At 37.9% G+C, this 20,101-nt stretch overlaps 1 protein-coding gene across 1 annotated transcript in view, besides 1 other annotated feature; it reads left to right on the forward strand.

Annotated features, from left to right (window-relative positions):
* FAAH2 (fatty acid amide hydrolase 2) overlaps positions 1-20,101 on the forward strand; it is a 367,606-nt gene that overhangs the window by 41,233 nt on the left and 306,272 nt on the right. The gene's annotated exons all lie outside the window — the stretch shown is intronic.
* Positions 14,156-14,734: an enhancer, noted in NCBI's record as "OCT4-NANOG hESC enhancer chrX:57203412-57203990 (GRCh37/hg19 assembly coordinates)". NCBI's record gives its function as "activates a minimal SCP1, AML or CMV promoter by ChIP-STARR-seq in primed H9 embryonic stem cells {active_cell/tissue: H9 hESC(primed)}" and the evidence as "EXISTENCE:reporter gene assay evidence [ECO:0000049][PMID:30033119]".

Genomic DNA, 20,101 nt, shown 5'->3' on the forward strand with positions numbered 1-20,101 from the left:
GAGTAATTTGATTGTCTGAAGCCTTCTTCTCTCAGCTTGTCAAAGTCAATCTCCATCCAGCTTTGTTCCCTTGCTGGTAACGAACTGCGTTCCTTTGGAGGAGGAGAGGCGCTCTGCTTTTTAGAGTTTCCAGTTTTTCTGTTCTGCTTTTTCCCCATCTTTGTGGTTTTATCTACTTTTGGTCTTTGATGATGGTGATGTACAGATGGGTTTTTGGTGTGGATGTCCTTTCTGTTTGTTAGTTTTCCTTCTAACAGACAGGACCCTCAGCTGCAGGTCTGTTGGAATACCCTGCCCTGTGAGGTGTCAGTGTGCCCCTGCTGGGGGGTGACTCCCAGTTATGCTGCTTGGGGGTCAGGGGTCAGGGACCCACTTGAGGAGGCAGTCTGCCCGTTCTCAGATCTCCAGCTGCGTGCTGGGAGAACCACTGCTCTCTTCAAAGCTGTCAGACAGGGACATTTAAGTCTGCAGAAGTTACTGCTGTCTTTTTTTTTGTCTGTGCCCTGCCCCCAGAGGTGGAGCCTACAGAAGCAGGCAGGCCTCCTTGAGCTGTGGTGGGCTCCACCCAGTTCGAGCTTCCTGGCTGCTTTGTTTACCTAATCAAGCCTGGGCAATGGAGGGCGCCCCTCCCCCAGCCTCGCTGCCGCCTTGCAGTTTGATCTCAGACTGCTGTGCTAGCAATCAGGGAGACTCCGTGGGCGTAGGACCCTCTGAGCCAGGTGCGAGATATAATCTCGTGGTGCGCCGTTTTTTAAGCCCGTCAGAAAAGCACAGTATTCAGGTGGGAGTGACCCGATTTTCCAGGTGCTGTCCATCACCCCTTTCTTTGACTTGGAAAGGGAACTCCCTGACCCCTTGCACTTCTCAAGTGAGGCAATGCCTCGCCCTGCTTCGGCTCGCACACGATGCGTGCACCCACTGACCTGCGCCCACTGTCTGGCACTACCTAGTGAGATGAACCCGGTACCTCAGATGGAAATGCAGAAATCACCCGTCTTCTGCGTTGCTCACGCTGGGAGCTGTAGACCAGAGCTGTTTCTATTCGGCCATCTTGGCTCCTCCCTTAATATGAATTTCTTAACCGATGTATGGTCAAATTAACAAATGGAAAACAAAACAAATGCTGTGGAATTCTGATGATTTCCTGGTAAATATTAGGTATAATAACTATCTGAGCCTGAAACTTGTAGGCAATAGGGGCTCAAAGGACGGTAATGGCAAGATGTGATTGTCAATTTAAGGCTAAATAAGGCCAGAAGAAAACAGAATCTGAACAATATACCTGACTTTAAAATCTTTAGGATTTGGAGAAGGCACAAGGTTGGATCAGTAAAAACAGTTGGGAAAAATAGTCCCTCAGTGATCAGTGTTTTAGGGACATACTGTGGGTACTGCATAGTTTCTAGATGTCATGGTATGAGGAGATAAACTTTGTAAGACAACATTAAAGTCCTTCCTGTAGGTGCCCAATGGGCCTATTATAAAATTCTTTCTGCATCACCTTAATTCCCAAAAAAGGTACATAGATTAGGACTCCAGATTCCAGGTGGAGACAGTGACCCTCAACAAAATGCATTCATAAAGCTGTTTTAGTAGAGAAGATCTCTGTGGGTTTATAAGTACAATACGAACTTTGATGTGAGGGACATTTAATGTGCTAGTATAGCCCTGGTAGTCACCATTATGGGATGAGACCATTTAAAATTGTGAATATGAAATGATAAGTGTAAAGGAGGCTGGTCCAATTCCCTGTAAAAGGCTTTCATAAATGGACCCCAAACAGAATATGCCACAGGAAATGATTCAAATGCACGAACAATTTGAAATAATTTAGAAATAAACAAGTTTGAAAGAGGTACATTGATATACCCTAGTCAAAGAAATATGAGCAAATATGCATTTTGCAGTGGCATTTCTGGGAATGTATTAAATAAACACACATTTTGTAAAAATAATAACAACTCTTAGGTTGACTTTCAAAATAATAAGCTGAAATTGTTGTGGACATTATAGATTACCTCACTAGTTTCCATTTTAATCATTTTTTTGTTTTATAGTACTCATACCATTTTGGTGGAATTAACACCATTCCCAAATTCAGGTTGGACCTTCGTTATCATAAGCATAATAGCCATACGGATCTACTCTGTGTATGTGATTGATTCTGAAATGTGTAGATAAAATGGAAATAAAATAATTGGGCATAGCATTTTCTTTGGCCATACTATGAGGATGTGGAGAAATAGGAACACTTTTTCACTGTTGGTGGGACTCTAAACTAGTTCAACCATTGTGGAAGTCAGTGTGGCGATTCCTCATGGATCTAGAACTGGAAATACCATTTGATCCAGCCATCCCATTACTGGGTATATACCCAAAGGACTATAAATCATGCTGCTATAAAGACACACGCACATGTATGTTTACTGCGGCATTATTCACGATAGCAAAGACTTGGAACCAACCCAAATGTCCAACAATGATAGACTGGATCAAGAAAATGTGGCACATATACACCATGGAATACTATGCAGCCATAAAAAAGGATGAGTTCATGTCCTTTGTAGGTACATGGATGAAATTGGAAATCATCATTCTCAGTAAACTATCGCAAGAACAAAAAACCAAACACCGCATATTCTCACTCATAGATGGGAATTGAACAATGAGATCACATGGACACAGGAAGGGGAATATCACACTCTGGGGACTGTTGTGGGGTTGGGGGAGGGTGGAGGGATAGCATTGGGAGATATACCTAATGCTAGATGATGAGTTAGTGGGTGCAGCGCACCAGCATGGCACATGTATACATATGTAACTAACCTGCAGAATGTGCACATGTACCCTAAAACTTAAAAGTATAGTAATAATAAATATATAAATAAAAAAAGAAAAAAAAGAAATTCATATTAAGTTCTTCAAGCTGAGCATGTATAATGGTAATATGGGAGGGGCACAGAGAAGGGCTGGGTAGAAAAATGTGGGGTCCCTGGCAAGAACTCCACCTTTGGGCCTGTGCCTGCAGACCTAAGTGAGGACAGACACTCCTGTTTTCACACCCAAATGTTGCTTTTTCCAAGACCACCTTGGCCTGCCATGCCCCCCATCCTGTGCCTATAAAAAATCCCAAGACTCTGGCAGACACAAATGGCTGGATGTTGAGAGGAACACAAAAATGGAAGAACACACAGGTGGCTGGTTGTTGAGAGGAGCAGAGTAATGGAAGAGCACACCAACAGGCATCAGCAACCACCGACAGGCCATCAGCAATGGGATGATGTGGAATTCAGCTGGGGGTGGTCGGAGGAGAGTACAGCCTCTGAGCGGCCTGACCCCAGAGAAACACCACCTTCCCACTCCATCCCCCCTCTGGCTTTCCATCCTTCTGCTGAGAGCTACCTTCAATCAATAAAACCATACACTCCTTCTCCAAGCCCATGTGGGATCCGATTTTTCTGGTACACTAAGACAAGAACCTGGGATACAGAAATCCTTCTGTCCTTGTGATAAGGCAGACAGTCTAATTGAGCTGATAAACACAAGCCACCTGCAGACAGAAAAACTGAAAGAGTCCACTGTAATACACACCCACCCTAGATGCTGCCATGGGATTGGCGATCCCCATGACCTGCCCATAGGCATGCTCCCCCTAAGGGTATACCGAGCACTAGGGCACCAAAGAAGTAAGACTCACCCCCATTGAATGCCCTGAAATGAGATTAAGGGAGCTTTCCCTGTTTCAATGGTATTATGTGAAGCTGTGGTACAAATTCAATCTGGAAGAAAGCACAAGAATATTCTACACCTATGGTTTTGGTCACTGGGCTAGCATTTCACTTATAAAGCACATATTACTGTTAGGAGACATAGTTACGGTGATCTTGAAGAAAGGGGAGAGGTCGCCCCAACCATCCTTATCATCACCCTATCATATCATATTGAGTTCACTATCTTTGGTTTGTTGCACTGGGAAATAAGAGCAGGTCCTCACCGTGCTTGATACTTGGTAGAATTGCCTAGATAAAAACTGACTTGATCTTCAATTACTGGGCTGTATGTGGTAATTTTGCAGCCAATTCAGAAGCCCTATTTGTGGAATGTGTAGACAGTCGTTACACTTCGGTGGAGCTTCATCATATGTTTATAGTTCACCATGAAGCTTATATGACCGACTACCCAAGATAGTATCCAAGTAGTTTTTATTTACACACAGTGTAGGCGCTATATAGATCTCTGATGCCACAGCTTTATGTTGGGATGGGTGCCCTAATGTCTGGAAGTCACAGGGCCACAAAGATGGGAGCATTCTGGAGCTGTGCTTTGCAAACGTCTCTAGTTTTAACTATGAAGAAAAGGTTAGATTTCTCTGACCACACTTATTTAACTGTAACACATAAACAAAACGGCCCCATTTTCCTAGCTGTATATATCACCTCTTCTCCCACCCTAACTCACATGGGACCATCCCAGTGTGTCTTGAAAAATTGATTATGACCTTCGCAATGAATCTTGAACAGTTGTCCCTCCAGGCCAGCACCTGTCCCTTTACCAGATCTTACCCCCTTCCAAACAGTAATTTTATTTTAATCTTGCACAATCTGTTGTAATTATTTGCTAAGCTCTAATGATACCTGGCATTCACAGTTGTAACTACTGAGAATGCCAGTCTCAGTGTATTAAACCCCTTTTCCCCCTCAGTTAACCACTTCTTAACTTATATTGTGAGAACAATTACTTTTGATTTTTTTTTGTCTTTTCAGCAGAGAAAGGTGTTAGCCCAGTAAGAATCCAAGCATCATTCTTATGCATTTAAATGATTCCTTCTGCCAGTGTTAAGGATGTGAAGTGGTGAGCTTTGTACAAATGCATTTCAATTCTTGGGATACTTCAGAGATGGGCTCAGTAAGGGATTTGAGATCCATTTATTCTCTAGCAGAAAAAAAATATATACTAGGTATTGTATAGTGGTAGGAGCATTTACCTACTTGGGCAAGCTTTGGCCCAGTGACACCAACTTTTCAGAAAAACAAACTGAGAAGTATTTGCAGCAGACCAGAGTGGGCCTCCTGTCATTAGAGTCATAAACATCAAGGATGTTCTGGGCAGACCTTTTCAAGATCTTTATGTGATGTTTTAGAAGGTCATTTTATTTGGCCTGATAATTATAAAGCAAATTGTTCAAAATGAATTAAACTATGAATTGACAGAAATATAATTATAATGAGTTTAAATGATTACTTTTAGTAATTTCTTTTTTTAATATTTGCAAATGCTTAAAAATATAGACTAGATTTTAACATCTTATGATCAGATTTATTTACTTGCTTTTTTTAATTTTTAGTAATTTCTTACTTTCTGACACTTACAAGATGCTCCAGTCTCATCTTGTATATTCTATGCCCTAGTTCTGGAATCATCAGTTTTTCCAAGGATCCCTGGTTTCTTTTATTATATAATTGTGTTAGAAACAAAATTTGGCCACTAGTGTGCTCATCACTACTGGAGCATCATTTGTTCTAGGTCCTCTCTGCTGATAGAGCAAGGATATATATGTGTGTTACACACACACACACACACACACACACAAACACACATTTCTTTATGCAACCATCTGTACTTATTTAAAGCTAAATATGACTTTATATTGATATCTTCAAATCAAATAATCACATGCATTATTCTAACCTTCTCCTTTGGCTTAAAAGAGAAGGCTAGAATAATATAGCTTGTAACCTCCAATTCAAACAGTGAGAAACCTGGCTCCTAACACCTGCCCATCCATTTATTAATTGTTCAATTTCAATATACATGTATAGTGATTTTGCAAACCTGAAACTATGAGGAGACAACTTCATCAACTGCAGTACAGTGCTTATGTATATTTCCATTTGCCTTTAGTCTTGCAGGCTCCACTCATCTTCAAAGGTAATTAGGTCAGTAATAACTTCTCTACCCCCTTATGTGTATTATTACATGCATTTTATAATATTTTAAATTTGTAAATACTAAAGTGTAATCTTTCTACTTGATAAAACTCTATGGGTTTTGACAAAAGCATAGTGTCATATATCCATCCATATTAGTCTTCTTGATCTGCCATAACAAAATACCATAGACTGAGTAGCTTAAATAACAGAAACTTATTTTCTCAGATCTCTGGAGGCTAAAAGTCCAAAATAAAGATGCCATCAGGGTTGGTTTCTGGTAGGGCTTCTTCCTGACCTGTAGATGGCCACCTTCTCACTGTGTCTTCACATGGCTTTGCTTCTGTGCATCTGTGGAGAAAGAGGGAGAAAAGGAGAGCTCTGTTGTCTCTTCTGCTTTTTATGAAGACGTCAGTACTATCGGATTAGGGACTTATCCTTATGATCTAATTTAAATTTAATTACATCCTTAAAGGCCCTATCTCCAAATACAGTCATATCGGGAGATAGGGTTTCAACATACGATTTTTGAGGAGAAGCACAGTTTAGTTCATATTGCTGTCATCACGTGTGTGTGTGTGTGGTTTCATCACCCTAAAAATTGCCCTATGATTCACCTATATAACAATCCTTCCTCTCTTTTCAAGCTTCCTTCCAAAATGACTGCTCCGTTTACTCACTATGGGAGTAAATTTTATGTATCAACTTCCTAGGCTATAATTTCCAGTTGTTTGGTCAAACACCAGTATATATATATATATATATATATATATATATATATATATATATATATATATATATATATATATATATATATATGGTTGTGATGGTGTTTTTAAGATGTGACTAAAATATAAATCAGTAGATTTTGAGTAAAGCAGATTACTCTCAATAATGTAGGTGGGCCTAATCCAATCAAAAGTTGTAGGAGAAAAGATTGAGGTTCCCAGAAGAGGAAGGGATTTTACCTATTGACTGTTTTCAACACTTAAGACTGCAACATTGACTTCTGTGGGAATTTTTATCCAGCTGACCTGTCCTGCAAATTTCAGACTTACCAGTCTAACAATAGTGTGAGTTAATTCCTTAACATTAGCATCTCTCTCTCTCTCCTTCTAAACACACACACACACACACACACACAAACACACACACACACCCTTTTCCAGAATGTCATATGAATAGATTCATGAACTATGTGGCCTATTTCAACTGACTTCTTTATCTCAGTGCTATGGGTTGAATGTTTGTGTTCAAACATCAAAGCTGCAGTGCAGTGGCACAATCACGGCACACTGCAGCCTCAAACTCCTGGGCTCACCCAGTTCTTCCACCTCAGCCTCTTGAATAGCTGAAACTACAGATGCATACCACCACTACTGGCTAACTTTTGTTTTTGTTGTAGAAACTGGGTTTTGCCATGTTGCCTAGGCTGGCAAATACTTTATATATGTGGAGTCACAGAGTATTTGTTGTTGTTGTTGTTGTTGTTACTGGCTTTTTTGCTTGCATAGCATCCTCAAAGTTTATTCATGTTGTAACATGTGACAAACTTTCTTTCTTTAAAGGGCTGAATAATATTCTATTGTATGACTATACCAATTTTGTCTATTCATTCATCTGTTGATTGACATTTGAGTTGCTTCTACCTGTTGGTTATAGTGAATAGTGCTGCTATGACTATTTTAATTTTTTTATTTTGGTAACTGTAGGGGTACAAGTGGTTTTTGGTTACATGAATTACTTGTATAGAGGTGAAGTGTGGGATTTTAGTGCACCTGTCACCCGAGTACTGTACATTGTACCCAATAAGTAGTTTTTAATTCCTTGACCCCCTTCTACACTCTGCCTTCTGAGTCTTTAATATCCAATATACCACTCTGTATGTTTTTGCAAACCTGTGGTGTAGATCCTACTTATAAGTGTGAACACACAGTATTTACTTTATGTGTGTGTGTGTGTGTGTGTGTGTGTCATGGAGTCACACTCTGTTGCCCAGACTGGAATGCAGTGGCGTGATCTTGGCTCACGGCAACCTCCATCTCCCGGGTTTAAGCAATTCTCCTGCCTCAACCTCCCTAGTAGCTGGGATTACAGGCGCTCGCCACCATGACCAGCTATTTTTTTTTTTATATTTTTAGTAGAGACAGGGTTTCACCATGTTGGCCAGGCTGGTTTCGAACTCCTGACCTTAAGTGATCTGCCCATGTCGGCTTTCCAAACTGCTAGAATTTCAGGCATGTGCCACTGCAACCGGCCTGTATTTATTTTTTGATCACTGAGTTACTTTACTTAGAATAATGGCCTCCAGTTCCATCCAAGTTGTGGCAAAATATATTATTCTTTTTTTATGGTTGAGTAGTATTCCATGGTATGTATATACCACATGTTATTTATCCAATAATTGGTTAGTGGGCCCTTAGGTTGATTCCATATCTTTGCAATTGTGAATTGTGCTGTGATAAACATACACATACAGGTGTCTTTTTGATATAGTGATTTCTTTTCCTTTGGGTAGATACTCAGTAGTGGGATTGCTGGATCAAATGTTAGATCGACTTTTCATTCTTCGAGCAATTTCCATGTGATTTTCCTTAGAGGTTGTACTAATTTACATTCCCACTAGCAGTATACAAATATTCCCTTTTTACCACATCCATGCCAACATCTATTGTTTTTTGACTTTTTAATAATGGCTATTATGGCTTGGTTAAGGTGGTATCTCATTTTCATTTTAATTTTCATTTCCCTGATGATTAGTGATGATGAACATTTTTTCATATGTTTCTTGGCCATTTGTATATTTTCTTTTGAGAAATGTCTAGTCATGTCATTTGCCCCCTTTTTAATAGAATTACTTGGTTTTTTTATTGCTGATTTGTTCGAGTTCCTTGTAGATTCTGGATATTAGTCTTCTGTCAGATGAATAATTTGCAAATAATTTCTCCTGTTTTTTAGGTTATCTGTTTACTGTGCTGATTATTTCTTTTGCTGAGCAGAAGATTTTTAGTTTAATTAAACCCCATTTATTTATTTTTGGTTTTGTTGCATTTGCTTTTGAGGTCTTAGTCATAATATTTGCCTAGACTGATGTGCAGAGTTTTCCAAGGATTTCTTGTATAATTTTTATGGTTTCAGGTTTTAGATCTAAATTTTTTAAATCCATTTTGAGTTGATTTCTGTACAAGGTAAGCAATCCAGTGTTATTCTTCTGCATGTAACTATCCAATTTTCCTAGCACATTTATAGAATAGTGTGTCTTTTCCCCAGTTTAGGTTTTTGTATGCTTTGTTGACCATCACTTGATTGTAAGTATTTGGCTTTATTTATGGGTTCTCTATTCTATTTCATTGGTCTATTAGACTAGTTTTATAGCAGTACCATGCTGTTTTGGTTGCTATAGCCTTGTAGTACAATTTGAAGTCAGGTAATGTGATACCTATAGCTTCGTTCTTTTTGCTTAGGATTTCCTTGGCTTTTTGGGTTGTTTTTTGGTTTCGAATAAATTTTAAAATTATTTTTTCTAATTCTGTGAGAAATTGAGATGGGAAGAGTTCCCTTGTCCCCCTCACAGGGTGTGAGACGTGGGGAGTGGCTCGTTTCTTCAGTGCTCTGCTGCTCAGATCTCTAGGGGAGCATACAGATGGGCAGGTTGTGGGGCTCCAACCTCATGACAGTGTCTAGGTATGGATGTTTACAGCTCCTGAAGCCCCAGTGGGCGTGTGCTATCGTGTGCTCTTTTAGCTTTGCCGTCTATAGGTGGCTTGTGTTAACGAACTCAATTAGACCCACTACCTTATCACAAGGGCAAAGGACTTTCTGTAACCCGGGGTTCTTGCCTTGGTGTACTAGAAGAATTGAATCACACGTGGGCTTGGAGAATTAATACAAGGTTTTATTGAGTGGAAATAGCTCTCAGCAGATGGGGAAGTGAGAAAGGAGATGGTTTTCTCCTAGAGTCAGGCCAGTCAGTGGCCTGGGCTCTCCTCCAACTGCCTGGGCCAAACTCTGCCTCATTCCACTGGTTGATGGCCTGCCAGCCTGCTGGTGTGCTCCTACACTGCTGCATTCCTCTCGACGTCCAGCCACCTATGTGCTATGTGTTCCTCCTCTAATGTGTTCCTCTCGACGTCCAGCCACCTGTGTGTCTGACTGCTAAGGTCTCTGTGTTTTTATAGGCACAGGATGGGGGCTTGACAGGCGAGGGTAGTCTTGGGAAATGCTACATTTGAGCAGGAAAACAAAAATGCCTGTCCTCATCTAAGTCTATGGGGGTGGAACCCTATCCAGGGACCATGCCCTTCCCCACTTCCGTATCACTTAAAGGGACCACACCCTTCTCTACCCTGAATTTCTGTATCAAAGTGATGTTAAAATTTTTATAGGGACTGCATTGCATCTGTAGATTGCTTTAGGCAGTATGGTCATTTTCACAATATTCACTCTTCCAATCAATAAGCATGGGATGCATTTTTATTTTATCTGTGTCATCTATTATTTCTTTCAGCAGTATATTGTAGCTCTCCTTATAGAGATTTTTCACTTCCTTTGTTTAAGGATACTCCTGGGTATTTTATTTTTTCAGTTGCTATTGTAAAAGGAATTGAGTTCTTGATTTGATTATCAGCTTGGTCAGTGTTGGTGTATAGCAGTGCTACTGATTTGTGTGCATTACTTTTGTAATCAGACTTTACTGAATTCACTTATCAGATGAAGGAGCCTTTTGGAGGAGTCTTTAATGTCTTCTAGGTATAAGATTATATTATCAGCAAAAAGAGGTAGTTTGACTTTTTGTCCTATTTGGATGCCCTTTATTTCTTTCTCTCACCTGGTTGCTCTGGCTAAAACTTCTAGCATTAAGTTGAATAGAAGTGATGAAAATAGGCAACCTTGTTCCAATTCTTAGGGGGAACGTTTACAACTTTTCTCCATTGAGTATGATGTTGGCTGTGGGTTTGTCATATGGTTTTTAATATTTTGAGGTATATTTCTTATATGGCTAGTTTGTTGACAGTTTTTATTCTAAAGAAATGCTAGATATTATTGAATGTTTTTTTCTTATTTATTGAGATAATCATGTGATTTTTGTTTTTAATTCTGTTTATGGGATGAATCATATTTATTTACCTGGATATGTTGAAACATTCCTGCATCCCTGGGATGAAACCCAATTTATCATGGAGAATTATCTTTTTGATATACTGTTGGATTAGGTTTGGTAGTATTTTTTCAGGATTTTTGCATCTATAATTCATCAGGAATATTTGTCTGTAGTTTTCATTTTTTATGCCCTTTCCTGGCTTTGGTATCAGGGTAATAATGGCTTTGTAAAATAACTTAGGGAGGATATTTAAGATTCTTCTCAATCTTTTGGAATAGTTTTACTGGAATTGATACCAACTATTCTTTGAATGTTTTGTAGAATTCAACTGTGAATCTGGAATCTCTCTAGCCCCGAGATTTTTTTTTTTTTGTTCTTGGCAGTTTTCTTTTTTTAATTATGAATTCAGTCTCACTGATTATTATTGGTTTGTTCAGAATTTGTTTCTTCCTGATTCAAGCTGTGTGTGTGCATATGTTACCAGAAATTTATTCAGTTCCTCTAGATTTTCTAGTTTGTGAGCATAGAGTTGTTCATGGTAGTGTCAAATAATCCTTTGCATTATTATGTTGTTGGTTGTTATGTCCCAATTTTCATTTCTAGTTGAATTTATTTGAATCTTTTATTGTCTTTTCTTGGTTAACATAGCTAATGGTCTACCAATTTTGTTTATCTTTTCAAAGAACAATCTTCTTATTTTATTAATTTTTGGGGGGAATCAAATTCATTTAGTTCTTTTCTGATCTTCATTTCCTTTCTTTTACTAGCTTTGAATTTGGTTTGTTCTTGTTTCTCTAGTTCCTTGATGTGTTTTGTCAGGTTGTCAATTTGTGATCATTCAGATTTTTTGATGTAGGTGTTTAGTGCTATAAAGTTTCCTCTTAGCCCTGCTTTTGCTGTATGCCAGAGGTTTTGATAACTTGTGTCACTGTTATCATTTATTTCAAATAATTTTTAAATTTCCATCTTGATTTCATTGTTAAGCCAAAAATTTTTCAGAAGCATATTGTTTAAATTTTATACATTTGTATAATTTTGAGAGTTCCTGTTGGAATTGATTTCTGCTTTTATTCCACTGTGATTTGAGAAGATGCTCGGTATGATTTTGATTTATAAAAATTTATTGAGGCTTGTTTTCTGGGCTATCATATCATCTATCTTGGAAAATGTTATGTGTGGTGATAATGTATTTTCTGCAGTTCTTGGGAAAATATTCTATAAATATTTGTTAGGTCCACTTGTTCTAGAGTGCAGTTTAAGTTTAGTCCTTCTTCATTGACTTTCTGCTTCAATGATCTGTCTCTTGTTGTCAGTGGAGTGTTGAAGTCCTCCATTACTACTGCGTCACTGTCTATCTCTTTTCTTAGGTCTGGTAGTAATTGTTTTATGAACCTAGGAGCTCCAGAGTTAGGTGCATATATAATTAGGATTGTAATATCTTCTTGTTGGAATTTTCCTTTTATCATTATATAACCTTCTTTGTCTTTTACTATTGTTGTTCTAAAGTCTGTTTTATGTGATATAAGAATAACTACTCCTGAATGCTTTTGGTTTTCATTTACATATGGTATATTTTTCCACCCCTTTACCTTGAATCCATAAGAATTATTTTGTGTTACATGACTCTCTGGAAGATAGCAGATATTTGGTTTGTAACTTCTTATCTATTTTGCCAACCTGTATCTTTTAAGTGGAGCATTTAGATGATTTACATTCAATGTTAATATTGAGATGTGAGGTACTATTCCAGTCTTCATGTTGACTTTTACCTAGATATTTTGTTTTCTTTATTGTGTTATTGTTTTATAGGCCCTGTGAGTTTTATATTTACAAGAGGTTCTATTCTGGTCTATATTGAACCTCCGTTTCAAGCTTTAGAACTCCTTTTAGCATTTATTGTAGGGCTGATCTAGTGTTGATGGATAACCTCAGCAATTTGCTTGTCTGAAAAATACTTTATTTCTTCTTCATATATGAAAATTATTTTTACTGAATACAAAATTCTCAGGTGACACTTATTCTGTTTAAGAAGGCTAAAGATAGGACCCCAATTGGTTCTGGTTTATAAGGTTTCTGCTTAGAAGTCTGCTTTTAGACTGATAAGTTTTTCTTTATAAGTTATCTGATGCTTTTGTCTCACTGCTTTTAGAATTTTTTTTCCTTCACATTGACTTTATATAGCCTGATGAATGTGTGCTTTGGTGATGTCCTTTTTGCAATTAATCTCCCATGAGTTTTTTGAGCTTCTTGTATTTGCATGTCTGTATCTCTAGCAAGACCAAGAAATTTTCCCTCAATTATTCCCTCAAATATTTTTTCCAAACTTTTTGCCTTTTCTTCTCCCTCAAGAACACCTTTGATTCTTAGGTTTGGCCATTTTGTATAATCCCATATTTTTTGGAGACTTTATTTCATGTAATTGTTTTTTTTTTTTAATTTATTTTTGTCCAATTGGATTAATTCAAAAGCTTTCTCTTTGAGTTCTGAAATTCCTTCTACTTGGTCTAATCTATTGTTAAAACTTTCCACTGCATTTTGTAGTTCAATAAATTGTATTTTATTTTCAGAAGTTCTGATTATTGTTTCTTTAAATTATCCATTTCATTAGAAGAATTTTCACTCATATCCTGAATTGTTTCAATAATTTTTTTATGTTGGTTTTAACTTTCCTTTGTGTCTCCTTGAGTGACTTAATAACCTTTTAAATTCTTCATCTGGTTTTTCAAAGATTTTGTTTTCACTTGGATCCAATGCTGGAGAGATAGTATGATCTTTTTCAGATGTTATAGAACCCAGTTTTTGTTTATATTGTCAGAATTATTTTTTTGGTTTCTTCTCACTTGGGTAGTCTATTTCTTCTAATTATTTTTGCATTTATTTTTTATTCCATTGGGTTTGCTTTTATAAAGTAATTTTTCCCCCTTTGAGTATGTGACTTTAATGTTTATAGTTTATTGTTACCTAGCTTTGGCTCTGGGTGTTTTCAGTGGTAAAGATTCTGTGTGAGTTCCTTGGTAACAGAGAATGTTTGTGTGATGGTTTTCTCAGGTGCTGCTTCTAGTAGTGATGTGCTAGAGGCGTGAGCAAGTTCTCCATCTCCTCTGGGGCTGGAATGGCAGAGGTCCCATAAAGCTTATCTTGTTCCCCCAGTAGTTTGCACTTAAAAAAAAAATCCCCAGTATTTTTTTCACTTGGTTGAACAGTTCAGGCTTCAGGCCAGTAGGAGCAATCCACAAGGAAAAACTGGCTGTGACTAAAGCAGGTGAGTAAATGTAATACCCCAATAGTGAGAAGTCCCATCCTTGACAGAGGTGTCTGGGAAAGTACTCAGTGAAATGCGCTGATATCTTTTCAGTGGGAAGTGAGGGAGACACCAGGGCTGCACTTACAGGTCAATGGGAAAGCAATCTGCCTCCCAATCATCCTCTTGACTCAGTGTTCTGGCTATTCAGATCAGACAGGCACCTCTTTTCATATGCAGGAATGCTGATGTTCCAAGTAGAGAAAGATTGTGACTGTCTCCTGCAACCTGGAAGGCACTCCTCCTGTGGGGATGTAGTCACCCTGGAGTGTTTCAGAAAGTCTGTACACTTAAAGTATAATAATAATAATAATAATATATATATAATAAATAATTTTAAGATTTCAAAAAAAATTAAAACAAATGTGGGTCGGTTCGGGAGCAACAAATCTTTTCTTTTTTATTATTTAATGTTCAAAATTTAAATATATATATATATATATATATATATATATATATATACCTCCAATAAATGAAACCTGATGACTGAAAAAAAAAAAAAAAGAAGAAAGTCTGTATACAGATGCATCTACATAGAACTCCTGTGGAGAAGCCCCACCTGTGTCTGCAGTGATGGGTGTGAAGGGAAAAGAAGTCTACTTCTTCAGGACCCTTCATGAGTGCCTGGGCTGTCTGACTGTTGGGATAAAGCTGCAGACTTTTCCCACTGAGCCTAGCAGTGCAACTATGTCTCTGCTGAAAGAAACTTCCCACAAGTGGAAAGTTCAGGAATGCTTGGCCTGCAGTCTGTTTATTTTCTCCCATGGGGTGCTTTCTTAATGTGGCACAGCCTCCCCATTTCCCCTTCCCCTAAGAGTAGCAGTCCCTGAGGGCCAAACTACTATATCTTTAAACTCCTCTGGGTCTAGCCACCCAGTGGGGCTGCCACACTTCAGGCTGATGCCATAGAGTGTTTACAAGGAATCCAGTAATGTGACCTGTCTGTCCTCTTGTCTCCTAGCAGTGGGTCCCAGCACCGGCCCTGATGGGGGTGGGAAGGGAGTGAAATAGACTATGGAGATTTTCTTGGTTATTAATAACATTACTATGTTGGCTTTCTCAAATGCCAGCTCTAGTAGTAATGTACTGGGCACATGGACAGACTCAAGATCTCTTGCTTAGCCAGAATGATGCAGACAATTATTATAGCTGAGGTTGCACAAAAAGTTTTCTTTTTCCTAAACACTGTGTTATTGTGCCTGCAGATGTTATAATGTTCTGTGCTGGTTGTCCACCAGCTAGGAGGTGGCACTTGCAATAGATTGCCTGCTACAGTGGTAGCAGTGGTATTTGTTCTTGTTCTATGTTACCCAGAAGAGGTACTCTGGTGTCTTAGGAGGTGGATAAGGCCATGGAGCTCCCCAAAGTCCCTGTGCTTTGTGTTATACTACCACGGCAAGAAAAGGGCAAAGTTGGTGGAGGCTGGGTCAAGCAAGTCCACACTCTGGCTCCTTACATGTGGGTGCAAGCAGCAGCTTCAATGGGAATCAGAGGGCAGTTCCCTAGTTGCTGGGGTAATATTTCAGGAAGAAGCACAGCTGCCTCTGCTGCATAAAAGTTTCACATGGGAAGCAGAGAGTAGCAGGTGGCTGTAAGCTCCATTCAGCTCCCATGTACTTGACAAGACAGGTCTCACACAACAGTGTTCTGCTAGCAGCAGCTACTTGGGTTCCAGGCAGCCTTCACTCAGAAGTCAAAACTGCCCCAGGCCATAAGCTTTTTAACCAAGACAGAAACCATAGATTTCAAGCCACACTTCTCACAAGCTACCCATGAATCAGAAAACATACAAGCCAGAGGAGATTAGGGGCCTATATTCAACATAATTAAAGAAAAAATATTGGAACCAAGAATTTTATATCCAGCCAAACCAAGCTTCGATAAGAAGAAATAACATCCTATTCAGGCAAGCCAGTACTGAGGGAATTCATTACCTCCAGACCTACCTTGCAAGAGCTCCTAAAAGAAGGAGCTTTCCTATAAAAAGGAAAGACCATTACCTACCACTACAAAAGCACCCTTGAGTACATAGACCAGAGATAGTATAAAGCAACTATACAAAAATGTCTGGATAAAACCAGCTAACGTAATGATGACAGTGTCAAAGCCACACATATCAATACTAACCTTAAATATAAACAGTCTACATGCCTCAATTAAAAGGCACAGAGTGGCACATTGGACAAAGAACCAAGTCCCATTGGTGTGCTGTCTTCAAGAGACCCATCTCACATGCAATGACACCCATTGGCTCAAAATAAAGGGATAAAGAAAAAATCTACCAAACAAATGGAAATCAGAAAAAGCAGGGGTTGCAATCCTAATTTCAGACAAAACAGACTTTAAACCAACAAAGATCAAATAAGACAACAAACAGCATTCCATAATGGTAAAGGGTTCAATTCAACAAGAAGACCTATTATAAACACATATGCACCCAATACAGGAGCACCAAGATTCATAAAGCAAGTTCTTAGAGACCATCAAAGAAAGTTAAAATCCCATACAATAATAGTGGGAGTCTTCAGCAACCCACTGACAGTATTAGACAGAACATCAAGGCCCAGAATTAACAAAGATATTCAGGACCTGAACCCAGCACTGGACCAAATGGATTTGATAGACATATACAAAATTCTCCACCCAAAAGCAACAGAATATACATTTTTTTCACTGCCACATGGCACATACTCTAAAATCAACCACATGATCAAATATATAAAAAAAAGCAAATGTAAAAGAACCAAAAATATAATAACAACACCCTCAGATAACAGCACAATAAAAATATAATTTCAGACTAAGAAAATTCCTCAAAACCATACAATTATATGGAAATTAAACAATCTGCTCTTGAATGACTTTGGGGTAAATAATGAAATTAGGCAGGTCGCAAGAAGTTCTTTGAGACTAATGGGAACAAAGATACAACATACCAGAATTTCTGGGACACAACTAAGGCAGTGTTAAGCAGTACATTTATAGCACTAAACACCCACATCAACAGGTGAGAAATATTTCAAATTAACAATCTAACATTACAACTAGGAGCTAGAGTAGCAAAAACAAATGAACCCCAAAGCTAGCAGAAGACAAGAATTAACCAAAATCAGAGCTGAACTGAAGGAGATTGCAATATGAAAAACCATTCAAAATATGAACGAACCAATGAGCCATTTTTAAAAAATATAGGATAAATAGACTGCTAGCTGGACTCATAAAAAGGAAGCAGAGAAGATTCAAATGAACTAAATTAGAAATGACTAAAGAAGTATTACCAATAAACACTCAGAAATATTATGGTTATACAAATAACAATCATATTATTATGAACACCTCTATGCACACAACTAAAAAATCAAGAAGAAATGGAAGAATTCCTGGACACATGCAATCTCCCAAGGCAAAAGCAGAAATAAATTGAATCCATGAACAGAACAATAAAGAGCTCCAAAATTGAATCAGTAATAAATAGCCTGCCAACCAAACAACAACAACAACAACAGAAAGCCCAGGATCAGAAGAATGCACAGCTGAATTCCACCAGAGGTAAAAAGAAGAGCTGGTACCATTTCTACTGAAAATCTTCCAAAATATTAATAAGGAAGGTCTCCTCCCCACTGCATTCTATGAGGCCAGCATTATCCTGACATCAAAACCTAGCAGAAATACAATAACAACAAAAGAGACAACTTCAGGCCAATATCCTTCATGAACATCGTTGCAAAAATCCTGAATAAAACACCGATAAACTAAATCCTGCAACACATCAAAAAAATGAATCTGCCATGATCAAGTCAGCTTTTTCAAGATTGCTTCAACATATGCAAGTCAATAAACATGATTTATCTTATAAACAGAACTAAAGACAAAAACCAGATAATCATCTCAATAGATACAGAAAAGGTTTTTGATAAAATTTAATATCCTTCATGTTAAAAGCTCTCAACAAACTAGATTTTGAAGGAACATACCTCAAAATAATGAGAGTCACGTATGAAAAACTCACTACCAACATCATACTGAATGGGGAAAAGCTAGAAGCGTTCACCTTGAAAACCCAAATATATTGGAAGTCCTGGCCAGAGCAATCAGGCAAGAGAAAGAAATAAACAGCATCAAAATAAGAGAAAAGGAAGTGAAAGTATTTCTGTTTGCAGACCACATGATTCTATATCTAGAAAACCCTGTATTCCCTGCCCAAAAGTTTCATAATTGAAAACAACTTCAACAAAGCTTTAGAATTTGAAATCAATGTACAAAAATCGCTATCGTTTTAATATACCACCAACAGCCAAGCCAAGAACCAAATCAGGAAGCCCATTCACAATTTCCATAAAAAATAAAATACCTAGGCATACAGCTAACCAGAGAAGTGAAAGATCTCTACAAGGATAACTACAAAAGACTGCTCAAAGAAATCAGGATGACACAAACAAATGAAAAAGCATTCCATGCTTATATTTAGGAATAATTAATATGTTAAAAATGGCTATTTGGCCCAAATTCATTAAAGATTCAATGCTCTTCCTATCAAACTACCAATGACATTCTTCACAGAACTAGAAAAAACTATTTTAAAATTTATATGGAACCATAAAAAAGCCTGAATAGCCAAGGCAATCCTAAGCAAAAAGCACAAAGCTGGAGCATGATGCTACCCAACTTCAAACTATACTATAGGGCTGCAATAATCAAAACTGCATGGTACTGGTACACAAACAAAAACATAGACCAATGTAACAGAATAGATAGCTTAGAAGTAACACTGCACACCTTTAACCATCTCATCTTTGGCAAAGCTAACAAAAACAAGCAATAGAAAAAAAACCCTCCCTGTTCAATAAATGATGCTGGGATAACTGGCTATCTATATGCATAAAATTGAACCTGGAACCCTTCCTTACACTATATACAAAAATCAACTCAAGATTTATTAAAGACTGAAGTGTAAAAACAAACGAACAAAGCTATAAAAACCCTGGGAGACAACCTAGGGAATATCATTCTGGGCATAGGAACTTGCAAAGAGTTTATAATGAAGATGCTGAAAGCAATTGCAACAAAAGCAATAATTGACAAATTAGATCGAAAGAGCTTTTCCACAGAAAAATAAGCTATCAACAGAGTAAACAGACAATTTATAGAATATTAGAAAATATTTGCAAGTTATGCATCTGGCAAAGGTCTAATATCCAGCATCTGTAAGGATCTTAAACAAATTTACAAGAAAAAAAGTGGGCAAAGGACATTAACAGACACTTTTCAAAACAAAACATGCATGCAGCCAACAAGCATATAGAAAAGCTCAATATCACTGATCTTTACAGCAATGCAACTCGAAACCACAATAAGATACCATCTCATACCATTTTAATAATGGCTATTATTAAAAAGATGCTGGCGAGTTTGTGGAGAAAAAGGAATGATTTCCCTCTGTTGGTGGGAGTGCAAATTATTTCAACCATTGTAGAAAGCAGTGCGGCACAACTCCTCAAAGAGCTTAATATAGACTTGCCATTCTAAATTCCATTACTGGGTATATATACAAAGGAATATCAATCGTTCTATCATAAAGACACATGCACATGTATGTTCATTGCAGCACTCTTCACAATAGCAAAGACATGAAATCAATGTAATGTCCATCAAAGGTAAATTGAATAAAGAAAATGTGGTACATATACACCATAGAATATTATGGAGCCTTAAAGAAGACTGAGATCATGTCCATTGTAGGTACATAGTTGGAGCTGGAGGCCATTATCCCTA

This window comes from Homo sapiens, chromosome X (assembly GCF_000001405.40).
Source record: "Homo sapiens chromosome X, GRCh38.p14 Primary Assembly".
Taxonomy (NCBI): domain Eukaryota; kingdom Metazoa; phylum Chordata; class Mammalia; order Primates; family Hominidae; genus Homo; species Homo sapiens.